The following is a 15,013-nucleotide window of genomic DNA, read 5'->3' on the forward strand; positions in this document are numbered from 1 at the left end:
TCTATGAAGGATCCCTCAGTATCCTTATATAAAGATCCTTTATGGCTCTAATATGCTTCAGTTGATTTTGTTCCTTGTAGGCAAAAGTTTCAATAAATATACTGTTTTCTCTCCATTATCAAGGATATATGGATTAATATTAATATATAAATATATAAATCCATTATATAGTAATATATATTAACATATACTTCCTTTATTAATATCCTGGATATATGAAATTAATATCTTGGATATATGAAAAGGTATTCCAGATCAATAAGATGAACACAGTAGTAGAAAAATAGAGAACATGAACAAGAGTGTAAAAAGGTGCGAAGTGTTCAACCCCAAAGATATGCTAATCAAAATTTAAAAATTAAATCTATACAATACAATTTAAAAAATAACATTACCCATTGTTAGAGGGGGTGTGGAGGAGTGGGTATTGTCATGTGCCACTGGGTCAAACATTGTGTAGGGCAAATTAACAATATCAGATCCTCACATTTTCTGTACATTTGACCTTGACCTTATCCCAGGCAAATACTTGATGGTATAGTGAAGGATATCTTTCTCAGCATTACATATATAATCAAAAATAAGAGGTGACTTAAGTGCTTCAAGGGAATTTATTAAAATGGATTATTGATCAGTCATTAAAAATGAAAGCATACAAGACTATTAAATGGTACAGAATTTCTATCAGAATAAGTGGGAAAAACAAGTTACAAGTAATATCATATGATTTACTTTTAGTGAAACTTACATGCACTTACACATTTGTGTATTATGTTTATGTGTCATGCATACATATAAAAGTGGAAGGCGGTTCAACAAAGTGCTAATTATCCTCATGATTTTTATTTTTTCTTTGATTTTTATGAACTTACAGTAAAGAACAAAGTACTACTTTGAAGGAAGAAAAATTATTTTTTAATAATTCAGCATAAATTACATAGGTTATCCAAAGATAGTAATATGGTATTTGATCTGAACCTAGACTTCTGTTCTGTTGATTTGACACATTTTGGTGTCTTTCCTTTTATGTTAAATAAGTAACTATCATTTACCTACAGCAGAAGAAGAATATAACTTAGCATTTGAGACTTGATAACATAGAGCTGTTGAATAGTTCTGTAAGATTTGTTAGGGAACCAAAACCAGGCATGTGAGGATGGTGCTGGAAGAGAAAAGGCGGGAAGGGTTTGCAGTCAACTGTCAGTTATCTTCAGCTTTCAGGCTCGCTGCACATGGACAGGTGAGGACCAAGGGAAGAAGAGCAAGCTTGGGTATTTGGTTGAGCTGTTAAGTTCAGGGTTAGAAAATGACCAGCACAAACCTTTTGGCTTGAGAGCCAAAGTTCTTGGCAGGAAGTCTCTGCTTGTTTCCGTTTGCCTTCCTCCCAGTTTCTCCTCAATGCCTTGCAGTCAGCATCCTGTATCTGCCATTTTGAAAACTGCCCTTAGGGGTCATGAGTGACCCCCTTCCTTATTGTTAAACCCAGTGACATTTTGTCCTTATCTGCAGCATTTGATGTGTTACTCAACTCTCTTTGGGCTTGTGTGCCTCTCCACCCTTGTGGTTATTCTCCTGCCTCTGTAACCACTCAGTGTCTTCTTCCATGTCCCTTGACCCTTCACTGTGTCTTCTACTGATTCCCCTTAGAACTTTCATTTACCCCTGGAGCTTCAACCATCATCTTCAGGTAAAACTCTAGCAACAAGTCATCTTTGCCCGCTGTGCATCATCCTTGCTGCCATTGAGAGTTTGGTCTTAAAATGGTACTTGCAATTAGAACACGTTCACTTTGTCACAAAATCTGACAGACATTGGACATACTTAGAATTCATATCTGGCTTCCTGAGACAGCTGTCAGATTGTCTACCAATGGTCTACCCATTGATGATGGAACAAGCTCCTTGTATCAGCCTCAAATAAAAATGATGGAATTAATAAAAGACGCTTACCTTAAGGCACAAAGGCCTATGAATTTCAAAAAGCATTGACAGAACCGATCCAAAAAATATGTAGTTTGTAAAAACTCTAATACAATCCACACTGAAGTAAAAAGCTTAACTTAGAATAATCCAAATAGTCTTTGTCAGCTGGACAGCTAATCTTGGTGAACATGGAAGAGTAGACAATAATGTTAAGGCATTGTGTGAGGGTTAAATTGTTTGCGAGGTCGGCATTGCTGGGGCTTCGGATTCAAACTGGGCCTTGAAAGAGGGGGTAAGAAAAGTCTATGGGGAACTGATGGGCACAAAGGCAGGGTGTAAGTGTTTGTTCTTGGGAAAATGATCAGACTAATCTGATTGAATAGAAGACGTTTATTGGAAATTAAAGGAAGATAAAGTAGTGATAGATAATGGAAGAACTGAAGGTCAACAGGGGAGTTTATATGTGATGGAAGAGAAAATCATTATCACTAGGGATGTAGATGTAAGAAAACGTTAGGTTTGGAAGTTATAAGACAAGAGAACTTCAAAGTTTGTGGGATTCTGTAAGGTGGGATGGGAATAAGCAATATTGTTGAGTACCTGCTGTGTGATCTGTAAGGCATAAGATGTCATTATTATTTTACAGCAAGCTTTGGAGTAGATGTACTAGTTCCCATTTTATGCATAGTGAGATGGAATTTTGAGCAGACATACTTGTCTAAGTTTGGCAGAGTGGCTGGACCAGGATTCATGCCCAGTGACATCTGACTTCAAAGCACAGTGAGGATGGAGAATGTTGAGACCAGTTCTTCATTTTACAGTCAAGGGGATGGGCCCAGGCCTATTCAAGGTTACAGGAATAGGATGAAAGCAATTTCTCTGTAAGAGAGAGTGGATAGGCTGTGATCTGCAGAGGGTCCAAGTTAGAGGCTCTTGTTATAAACAGATGAGGTATGCCAAGGAAGTTGGGTTCAGCAGTGTGATAGGAGTGAAAAAGAAGGGGTAGAGAGCAGCTGGACATTCGGGGAAAGTGGTGGTGACTGTTAGTGGAAGGTAATGACGAGAGAGATGACTTGAAAACAGTTCCGAGGTTTTAGTCCCAGGGAACTGCCATTAACAGTTTTAGGAGAAAAGCCATGTGTGTGTTATGGAGTGGTCTGAGTAAGTATGATAGACATTAAAAAATACATAAAAATAGAGTGGTATGCATGTGCTGAATTATGTTTGTACTACCAAACACACGGAGGAGGAGAACAGAACAGAAGGTGGAAAGCTATGAGGGATCCAGCGCTTTTCTTTGCAGTGGTGGAGAGTCACGAGAGCAAATAGCTAGCCTTTACCTAAAGCAAAAGGGACTCTTTGCATGATATCTTAGGCTCCCTTTTATTCTGGCCTGCCCCTGCACCCCCAGCAGGAAAGTGGCTTAACTGTACTTTGATTTCCAAAATGCGTAGCAGTCTCTAGTATTGATTCCCCTCTCCTGCAGATCTCAAGCCTAAAAATGAGTATTGTTCCATTACATTTCCCTCAAAAACATTTCTTTTTCCTTTCAGAATGATGGTCACTATACTGGATGGACTTCTGAACTAGTGAATTACTTTCATCTTTTGATCACACTAGGAAATTGTCCACGGAGTTGAAATATTTATTGCAGTAATTTCTGGCCTTACATAATTAAGATAACATATCGTTTTTTTCTTTATAACTATCATGAAGTTGTCATGTTTGTTTCCTTTAACTTTGCTTTTTAGAGGTACGAATCTGTTCCCTAGTCTTTTATGCTCCAATGATCTGTTCAGACTGCTCTTGATCTACAAATGTATGATTGAGAAAAGACTTTTATAGGATGAAATATGAGCAAGCTGTTTTACTCTGAAGAATAAAAGTGAATTGTATTACTCTGCAGATTAAGTCAATAAATACCCCATTTTCATAAACACAATATGCACAGACTAGATAATACTAGGGAAACTTGATACATCAAAAGGAGTATTAAGACTGAAAAAAATGGAGATACTCAATTTATTGCAGGCTTTATTCAATAAACCTAGAAAATAGAGAGTTTAAATCAAAATCTGTTACTCTGTTTCTAGAGATAATCAATGTTAAAATTGTACTATATTATTTTCCAAGTTTTTAGAATATGTGCATGTGTTGTTGTGTTAGCTTTCTCTATTTTTGCAACTTGAGTAACATTTATTACATGCTTGTGCTGTGCCAAGCTAAATACCAAGCATTTTATATATATTAATTTATTCTCATAACCCTTGGTACTTTTATTATCCTCATTTACACACAGGACAATTGAAGCTCAGAGAAATTAGCCAGGCACAGTGGCTCACTCCTGTAATGCCAGCACTTTAGGAGGCCAAGGCAGGCAGATCACTTGAGGTCAGAAGTTTGAGACCAGCCTGGCCAACATGGCGAAACCCCGTCTCTAATAAAAATACAAAAATTAGCTGGGCGTGGTGGCACATGCCTGTAATCCCAGCTACTAGAGAGGCTGAGGCAGGAGAATTGCTTGAACCTGGGAGGCAGAGGTTGCATTGTGCTGAGATTGCACCATTGCACTCTAGCCTGGGTGACAGAGCTAGACTTGGTCTCAAGAAAAAAAAAAAGAAAGAAAGAAAGAAATGACTTGCCCATGTTCACATAGCTGGTAAACCCACACTGGTTCAGAACTTAAACCAGTGAGATACCAAAGCCCATATCAGTGGGCTTTTTTACATACTTCTTTTCCTTAATAAAATGCTTATTTCTTTTTTCTACAGCATCATTTTAAATGACAGCATAGTATTCAGTTATATGGAAATGTAATGGTTTCTCTATCCCATCTCCTTTTATTAGACATTTATATTGTTTCTTGTTATTTACTTTTAGAAATAACATTGCAGTGAACATCTGTCATGCACATCTATGATTATTTCCTTAGGATAAATTGCCAGAAGTGGCATTGCTGAACAATGATAGAATGTAGCACTCAGGTGTTGATGTATTCTGTTAATTTACTCTGTTGATGTACTGTTTTCTCGAAAGGCCACACCAGTTTATAATCTCAGTAGCAGTATATTGAAGTACCTGGTAACTTTCAGCTCTCAGCAACATTGGTAGTTAGCAATTTGAAAAAAAAAAGTGTTTGTTTTTAAAAAACATTCTAGGTATTCCTTTTTAAGTCCATATTATCTCTTGCCTCTAATGCTGTAGTAGTCATGATCTCCTTACTGGTTTATTTCTATCTAGCACCCACTTTGCCACTAACAGAATCGGATAGGGCACGGACTGTAGAGTTAGATGCCTGGGTTCAAATCATGACTGTGCTGTGCCTCAATTTCCCCGTAAGTAAAATGAAAATAGTAATAAAAGCCCTCTGGTAAAGTACTTTAGAACAGTGCCTGACTTTTGGTATGTGTTCAGTAATTGTTGGCCTACTAGTATTGTCTTCCAGAAGTCCCTGCTTATATGATTAAAAAAACCCAAGGTTATACTTGTTTTTGAATTGTAATTATTACCAAATCAGTAAATCACAGTAGAAACTAAAGTGCTGACCTTGAAGCATTGTTAGTGTTAACACTGTGACCAACCTGAAGATCACAAATTACCTTCCGTGACTCAGTTGATGCTGAGAGGTCAGGGATAGAGTAATAACAGGAATAACTAGAATGTTAAAGTGCTTTATATTAAGCTGCCAGTGCACTTCCACACACATTATCTCATTCGATCCTCACAACACAGCTGTGAAGGAGATGGAGCGGGTATTATTAATCTCATCTTACAGAGGAGGAAATTGACTTGGAGGATTAAGTGGCTTGCTCACTGATGGTTGTGGAAATGGTCAGTGGCAGAGCTGAATGTGTACTCTGGGCCTTCTGACTGTAAATACTTACTCTTGATGCTTCATAACATCATGATAAGCTAAGGAGGTGCAGGTGTAGATGCCCAGGTCTGGAGATTTGCTGGAAAAGAAGGAGCAAAAGAGGATGCCACTGGGAGGAGGGAGCAGAGTTGGGGTAAGGAAACTTAGATATACTAAAAGAGAGGGAGGTACCCAGCGGGGAGAGAGGTGGGGAAGGAGTCATAAAGAAAGGGAAAAACAGGGGGCCAGGACTTCCGTGACTACAGGGCTGGCTGAATAGATCAGGGTGGAGGGCTTCATCTTTGAGACTGAAGGAATGCGTCCCCTGAGCCAGGAAGGAGGGAGGAGATGGAGCAAGTAGACACAGGTGATTTGAAATAGAAAGGAACATTAAGAGGGCTGAAGGATTGTGGCCTGAATGAAGAAAGAAGGAAGTATTTATTTCTGGAGAGTAAAAGTGGTAGGTTTGGGGTTTTAGATTTGAGAAAGGGAAACCATTTAGAGTATCTGTGTGGGAAATGGGCCAAGGAATTAGAAATGCCTGCCAGAGACCTCTGCAGGATGCAGGAAGGACCCAGATAAAAACGTCTGGGCTCCAAGTCGACAGATTCTGTGAACCCCTTAGGCATGCTGAGGATTTCCTTGCCAGATGATGTAACTATCTGAGGATGTTTCTTTGTGAGCTCAGTGCTAGACAGGCACAGGAGCAGTATTAGGATGGAAACATTTCTTAATTGCTTGAGGAGTGAGGAAAAAAACGGCACTCTGCAATAACCCTCTTGTTTCCAAATACCAAAGCAGCTGTTGGGCTGTGCTCCTGTCTAGGTACCTTTTCCTCAGGAGTTAAGTGCCACATGATGATATTTATGGTTGCTTTTTAGGGGGTACATGGTTTTTTAATTAGTGAAGACCGAGTAGCAATAGTTTTGTTTTGTGTTCTAATAGCCTTTGTTATTATAGTCAGGGAGGTGAAGTGAGGAGATGATAGATGCTTTCCTAATCTGTGAAATGAGGAGTTGGACTAGGCAGGTGCTCCCCAAAGTCCCTTTCTAACATTACCATTTTCTCATCCAACTCCAGTCTACGCTGCCTCCTCTCCATTTCCTCCTTTACCAGACAGTTTAGTGTGTCTCAAGTTATATTTTATGGTGCTTTAGATATATATATGTATATTTTTGCTTAGAGACTTCATGCATTATTATTAGAGACTTCATGCAGTATGTAGTGACTGTAGAAAAATGAAAGATGTATCGATAAATAAAAGACCTGTTAAAAATATGTAACTTTACCACCATTAAATAACCACTGTTTATATTCTTCCGGAGATTTTTTTTTTTAGGTGTGTATGCCTAAATAAGATTCTTAAATACAGAAATGCACCCTGCTTTTCTCAGTTGAAAATTATAAACCTCTCTGCTTATCAGTAGTCACTGCTGTGTAATTATTAAAGGTTGATGAAGACTCTGTTTCAGGAATGTATTTTAACAAATCTCACTTTGGACATATGCATTAATGTACATTCTTCTAACTGTATTTGTGAGGCTGCTCTGAATTATTTTCTTATAAAATTAGGAAAGAGGTTTAATATATAATACACATTGCCTGGAAGACTGAACCGATTTACAGTTCCATCACCAGTATGCGAGAGGTCTCTTTTCCCACACCCTTAACATTGGATAGTGGAGTTTAAAACAAACAAACAAAAAAACCTTACCAGTTTTATAGACAGATGAACATCTTTTCATATGCCATTTATATTCCTTTGTGAGTTTTCTGTTCATATCCTTTGCCCATTTCTCCAGAGGGGTATTTGCTATTTTTGTTACTGACTTGCAGCAACGAGATTTTAAAGATTTAAAATTTTTAAATGTCTTTTATTATAAAAGTATGTTAGTTGTTTTGATAATTTCTTTGAATTTTTATACTGCTTTTAAATGTATATAAATATTTAATTTTAGGTTGTCAAATCTTTTTCTTTATGGTTTCCATATAGGCTAACTAGGAAGTAAGAATGCCTTGGTATTTGTTGCCCATTGTCAGTTCTTTACATAGCAGAGTAATCTCTTTCAAGTGTGATCACATCTTGGCATACCCCTGCCTGAGCTCGTCATGGCATTCTTGTTATCATGGCCTGCAGGGCCTGGCACGATCTTGCTTTTCCTGCTGTAAAGCCCCACCTCTTGTCACTCACCCTTGAACACTATGTTCCAGCCCCACTGGTCTCTTCTCAGTCCAGGGAATATGCCAACCTCCTTCCTGTCCCTGAAATTCTGCAGGTGCAGTTTCTTTGCTTGGGAAATGTGTGCACACGCGCACACACACACACTCTTTTGAGCACTTGTCAATATGCAATTATTTATTTATTTTTGAGATGCAGTCTCGCCTAGGCTGGAGTTCTGTGGTGCGATCTTGGCTCACTCTGCAACCTCTGCCTCCTGGGTTCAAGTGATTCTCCTGCCTCAGCCTAGCAAGTAGCTGGGATTACAGGTGCCCACTACGACGCCCAGCTAATTTTTGTATTTTTAGTAGAGTCGGGGTTTCACCGTGTTAGCCAGGCTGATCTCAAACTCCTGACCTCAGGTGATCCACCCACCTCAGCCTCTGAAAATGCTGGGATTACAGGAGTGAGCCACTGTGCCCAGCCACAATTATCATTTCTTATTAACTTACTCTTTTCCTGTTTCCCCCTCCAGCCTGTAACACCATAGGGGCAGGGACCTTGTCTGTGTTGACCACAGCGAGGTCTCTAGTGCTTAACATGTGGTATTTGTAGGAGATCGGTCAGGGTGGTGGAAGAAATTGTAGGAAAAGATGCAAACCTTCTTGGAAGAGGTTTTGCAAAAGCTTCAAAAAAGGGTTTGGCTGAAGGCAGCCAAATTCTCTTACCTGGAGCCTGAGAGCAAAGGTTAGATAATAAGGGGATGTAAAGGAATTGATCTAGATAAGTTAGTTTACTTAGGCCTCAGAACCTGGCCTTTAATCATCTGTGCGCAGGACTGCTCTTTCCCAGGGAGCAGCGGGAAGCCGGGGGAGGGGGAACCATGTTAATTACCCACAAGTGTGTTGACTCAAAGACTTTGTCATTACATCCATACTGAATAAATGCCCGCAGCACTGGCTTGTCAGGGCCACAGCTGCTATGACTCTTTCTTTCTGTGAGCACCCCGATCCCCTAGTCCGCTCTTTCACTGGATACCTGTGTCTAAGTACGTTTTTTCATCCATCGCTCAGCCAGAATCTGCCGGTCAGACCTGGCAAGTATTTATAGAAGAAATGAATCAATATTACATCTCTAACCACAAGATTGCACAGGCATTTAACTATATTTACCTTATTGTAGTTTTATGGTTTCATCTCACATTTTAAAATATTTTATCTGTATGAAACTTAGTTTGAAATGTGACTTGAGATAGGAATTAAAATTAATTTCTTTCCCAAATGAATAGCCACCTGCAATTTTTGTAGTTCTTGTTTATTAGAGAGTCCTTACTCAAAGTATAGTCCTTAAGCACTATTATATTGTTTTTTCTTTCTTCTGTTTGCTTTTCTCTCCTTGGGTAGTCCTTTGTGCAAAACGTAAATGCAGAAACTGCTCATTGACTTGAGCCAAATTGCTCATGAGCATGCTGGTTCAATACCAAGAAAGATGATCTTGGCGTCACCCACCATAGCCTACCTTCTAAGAAGAAAGAAGACATCATGTGACTGACTTAGGGAGTTGTACTATTTGTTCAATATCTAATGCTAGTAGACAATCTTGTTTTAGATAATTCTGGCCGCCAGTTTTTTTAAACTGTTGGAACCTGGAAATTTGAACATTCCAGTGACTACCTTTCCTAACTGCCTCTTATCTCTAGATGTGGAATAAAAATCCTTTGGCAGACCATGTGTTCCAGTTTTTGGTTTGGAAAATATGGATTATTATTCTTTTCCTTATTTTAACTCTGAAAATTAAAATTAATGACAAAAGTCAGATGTGCCCATTCTCACATATTCAAACAATAAAACATACAGACAAAAAAAGGATTCTTGTATCCCACTTTTTGATCCTATTCCTAATATAACCACTGCTGAGTTTATTGTATATACTTTCAGACATTTTTTATGCTTAGTGGATATATTAGATCTTTATACATTCCCCCCCCCCATATACTTGCATTTTTTTTTTTGACTAATGTCATAAACTTTGTTATACACCTCAGTGGGATTTAAAAACACCTGAAGCCTTTGTTTTTTGGCTGGTGGCAAAAAAACCAGAGTAACTTAGAGAAGTTACCCATTGATGTTTTCACAGGGCTTTAAACACGAAGACCTGATTTGTTTGTGTAAATCGTTGGATGTAATCTTACAGAGGACCAGGGCTTGAGCACCTTCAGAAACATGGTATCATCTGATCATGATGATTTCCATCCCACGACAGAGGAAGAAATGGAGACTCCAAAGGGACAGAAGTGAATTCTTCCAAATTTATGAAAATGAACACTTAGCTAAAATGTGTTCACTGGGTTATGACAAGTAACTGGACTTCTAGGGAATGGGATGGCAGGTGGGGTGCTATCAGTTTATAAAATTTTTTGTAACCTTGTCTCTTATTTCTGCTTCCCTCCCCCAGCCATGGGAACACAAGATAAATTTGGAGTAGGTGAGGGTGGAGAGCAAAGTGACTCCCTGGGCTGTGCCCTTCACACTGGTTTTAGAAAGCATGCAGCTGACTGCCCTGGGGTCTGATCTATGGTGCTGCGCTCGAGAGAACTGTAAGGTCTGCTGTAAGTGATGGGGGCTGTGGACTTATGCAGAAGTGCACTTGTTGGGGGTTTTCACAGTACCCACCTTATTATACTAGAGAGGCAGGTTTCATTGCTTAAGGGGACAATTTATGGCAATAGGCTTATCTCCTTGTTTTAGCTCTTTATGTTTTTCTGCCTTTAATAAAATGTGAAGTCACAAAGCAATTAAATAGTAGTGTAGTTTTCAGGCAGGAGGTGGAGAAAGGCTAACTAGGGGGAAAAGGCCAACATGATTGACAGAGGCTGGCTGGAGATTTACATTGAGAATAACTCGTTCTTCAAAACTTTCTTCATTTTCTGGTGAGAATTAGGGACAAATCATATACCAGAAGGATGGATGATTAAAAATGTAGGAGTTATGATTTCTTTTTGACTTTGTAAGTCTCTAAATCCTCCACCTTAACATAGAGTTCTCATTTCAAAATGGGAACCAGCCCTGCCAGAGACTAAAGTGAGCCAGAAATACTCTAAAGTCTTAAATAGTTAATAAGTGTGAGATTGTTTATATTTTGTAAAATGTCTTAAGATACAATGAAATGGAGAATCCCTGAGTGTTTTTTTGATTTCCTAAACTCTGATCCACAATTATAGATGTGTCTGAAGGTTCAAAAATATTGAACGTGATTTCAGTTGTTTCTAGAATTTAAAAAAATTAATAATTTTTAATAATGACACTTTAAATGAGGAGAAGGCTTTTAAAACCAAATATAAAAATCTGGAGAGTTCAGATTCCCTGTCTCTCCTCTTTCAACCTTTAATGTATAAAACAAATCCTTTTGATTCAGCCACTGTGTATTGATAATGGCTTATTTATTACAATCAGAGGAATTAAACAAAGATATGTAGATACTTTGTCATCTTTTCTTATTATAGAAACAGTTTGATTTTAAGAATTTTTATTCAGAACGCAGATTCGAAAAGAAAAAAAAGAATTTTTAGAAAAGTTGCCTTTTAATTTAAATTTCTTGTTTTGTCCTAATAATCACATTGAAATAGCCAAAACAAATAATATAAATTAAAATGCAACGATGGCCCGGCATGGTGGCACATGACTGTAGTCCCAGCTACTCAGGAAGCTAAGGCCAGCAGATTGCTTGAGCCCAGGAGTTCAAGACCAGTTGGGGCAACATGGTGAGACCCTGTCTCTACTTTTAAAATGTGGTGATTGGTACCTGTTGAGAGAAGGGTTAACTGAAAGTTATTCACATGGCCCAGAAAGTGGCTGAAAAGTGCTCTTTCTGGTGTGAATTTCTCTTGCTGTGAAAGCACTCTGAAGGGGAGACCTAATGCCATTGCAGGAGCACTTCAGCTCCAAACTTGAGCGTTGCAATCAGAACAAGAACCCGAGGAAAAGCCTGCAAAATGAGCCTGCTGCGATATAGGGTGTGCTTTTGGACAGTTATACATAAGAATTTTTTTCTTTTTTCTTTTTTCTTTTGTTTGAGACAGTGTCTCACTCTGTTGCCCAGGCTAGAGAGCAGTGGCGTGATCATTGCTTACTGAAGCCTCAAATTCCTGGGCTCAAGCAGTCCTCCCACCTCAGTCTCCTGAGTAGCTGGGACTGCAGGAATGCACCACCACATCTGGCTAATTTATTTTTTGTAGAGGTGAAGTCTTGCTTTGTTGCCCAGGTTGGTCTCAAACTCCTGGACTCAGGTGATCCTCCTGCATGGACCTCCCAAAGTGCTGGGATTATAGGCATGAGCCACTGTGCCCAGCCTCATGAGAAGATTTATGATGATAGATAGAAGAATTATTAATTTCCACAGTTTGACAAATGATAACAAATAGCTTTTACAGTTTGAGCATCCCCTATCCCAAACGCTTGGGACTAGAAGTATTTCGGACTTTGGACTTTTTTGAATTTGGGAATATTTGCATATACATAATGAAATTCCTTGGGGATGAGACACAAGTCTAAATAACAAGTTCGTTTATGTTTCATATACACCTTATATACAAAGACTGAAGGTAACTTTATACAATATTTTTAATAATTTTGTGCATGAAATAAAGTTTTGACCGCATTTTGGCTGTAACCTGTCACATGAGGTCAGGTGTGAAATTTCCACTTTTGGTGTCATGTCAGCATTCAAAAAGTGTTGGATTTTGGAGCATTTCTATTTCAGATTTTTGGATTAAGGACGTTCAACTTGTATGCCAAATTAGTAAATATTTTTTGAGTTCCTACCCACATCCCTGTGTATGGGCTCTAGAAGCAGCCATGGTTTAGTTTCCTCACCTGTAAGGGAGGGTGTAGAACTTCTTTTAATGTACATCACTGTAGGTTAAGTTCGGGTAGAGAAAAGACTAAAGGCAACCAAGGCTGGCTGTCCTCTGAGCCCCTATGCTAAGCTGAACTAGGCTTTTGTTTCTGGCAATGGATCATTTTGCTGTCACGGAGCCAGTGATTATTTACCACCCCTGGTTTTGAGTAGGTTTCCTTTTCCCCTGGCAATAGCTCTTAGAGTGTTTCACAGAGAGGCAACGGGATTCAGAAGATGCCCGTTTACACTGGTACCACTGTCTCGTTATGTCATGGTAAAGTAATGAAGTCCACCATCATTACTTTACCAGTTCCCCATTGGTGTTTTGGTCTTCCCTATACATTTTTTTTAACTTTTATTTATTTTTAATGAGATGAAATTCACATAATATAACAATAGGCAGTTTAATAATTGACAATTCAGATGTATTTAGTACATTCATAATATTGTGTAGCTGCCACCTCTCTCTAGTTCCAAAACATTTTTGTCACTACAAAAGAAAACCCCGTACCCAGTAATCAGTAACACACTATTCTCTCCTCTCTCTCATCCCTGACAATCATTAATCTGCTTTCAGTCTCTATGAATTTACAATTCTAGATACCACATGTAAAATAAATGTTCTCATACAATATGTGACCTTTTGTGTCTGGCTTCTTTCACTTAGTATATTCATCCATGTTGTAATGTCTTAGCCATTTTATGGCTGAATAGTCCATGGTACGGATATATCATAATTTGTTTATCCATTCATCTGTTGATAGATTTTTGATTTTTTCCCCACCTTTTAATTCTTATGAATAAGGCTGCTATGAACATGGGTGTGTAAGTACTTGAGTCCCTGTTTTCAGTTCTTTTAGGTTCATACTTAGAGGTGTAATTGCTGGGTTATATGGCAAGTCTGTGTAACCTTTTTGCAAAACTGTTTTCCACAGGGCCAAACCATTTCTAGTCCCACCAACAATGTACAAGGTTCCAATTTTTCCATATCCTTGCAAACATTTATTTTCCCTTTTTAAAAAAATTATAGTCGTCCTTGTGGGTATAAAGTAGTATTTTATTATGGTTTTGATTTATATTTTCCTAATGATTAATGGTATTTATCTTTCCATGTACACATTGGCCATTTGTATATCTTCTTTGGAGACATGTCTGTTGAAGTCCTTTGCCCATTTAAAAATTGTTATTTGTTGTTGACTTGTAAGAGTGCTTTATATATTCTGGATACTAGACCCTTAATAGATATGTGATTTGCACATAGTTTTTCTCATTTTTAAGGTTTTCTTTTTTTTTAATTTTTATTTATTTTTTTTTAGACAGAGTCTTGCTCTGTTGCCCAGGCTGGAGTACAGTGGCAAGATCTTGGCTCACTGCAACCTCTGTCTCCTGGGTTCAAGTGATTCTCCTGCCTCAGCCTCCTGGGTAGCTGGGATTACAGGCATGCATCACCACGCCTGGCTAATTTTTTTGTATTTTTAGTAGAGATGGGGTTTCACCGTGTTGGCCAGGCTATCTTGAACTCTTGACCTCAGGTGATCCACCCGCCTCAGCCTCCCAAAATGCTGGGATTACAGGTGTGAGCCACCACCCCTGGCCTCCCTATGTTTTCTTCTAAGAAGTTATGCTTTTATTTTTTATACTTAGGTTGTTAATTCATTTTGAGTTAATTTTTCATATGGTATGGGGTAGGGGCCCAACTTTATTCTTTTGTATGTAGATATCTAGTTTTCCCAGCACCACTTGCTGAAGAGACAGTATTTCCCCATTTGAATGGTCTTTGTACCCTTGTTAAAAATCTATTGGCCATATATGTGAGATTTTATTTCTGGACTCTTTTTTCTATTGGTCCATATATTTATCCCTATACTAGTACTACACCGTTTTTGATTACTGTAGCTTTGTAGTAAGTTTTGAAATTGAGAAGTGAGAGTTCTTCAACTTTTTTCTTTTTTTTAGTGTTGTTTTGGCTATTTGGATCCCTTTCAGCTTCATACGAATTTAAGGATCTGTTTTTTCATTTCTGCAAAAAGGGCTGTTGGAGTTTTGATAAGGAGTACATTGAATCTGCAGATTATTTGGAGTAATATTGTCATCTTAACAATATTAAGACTTCCAATCCATGAATATAGGATGTATTTCCATTTATTTAGGTCTTATTCTTCAGCAGTGTCTTGTAATTTCCAG

At 38.4% G+C, this 15,013-nt stretch overlaps 1 protein-coding gene across 39 annotated transcripts in view; it reads left to right on the plus strand.

Annotated features, from left to right (window-relative positions):
* KANK1 (KN motif and ankyrin repeat domains 1) overlaps positions 1-15,013 on the plus strand; it is a 275,809-nt gene that overhangs the window by 113,245 nt on the left and 147,551 nt on the right. For 2 of the 39 annotated variants that reach the window (XM_024447463.2, XM_047423056.1), the window contains exon 3: positions 10,070-10,541. The exons of the other annotated variants lie outside the window; for them this stretch is intronic. The gene's annotated coding sequence lies outside the window, so the exon portion shown is untranslated. The remainder of the gene's footprint in view (positions 1-10,069; positions 10,542-15,013) is intronic. 39 annotated transcript variants of the gene reach the window in all.

This window comes from Homo sapiens, chromosome 9 (genome assembly GCF_000001405.40).
Source record: "Homo sapiens chromosome 9, GRCh38.p14 Primary Assembly".
Classification (NCBI taxonomy): domain Eukaryota; kingdom Metazoa; phylum Chordata; class Mammalia; order Primates; family Hominidae; genus Homo; species Homo sapiens.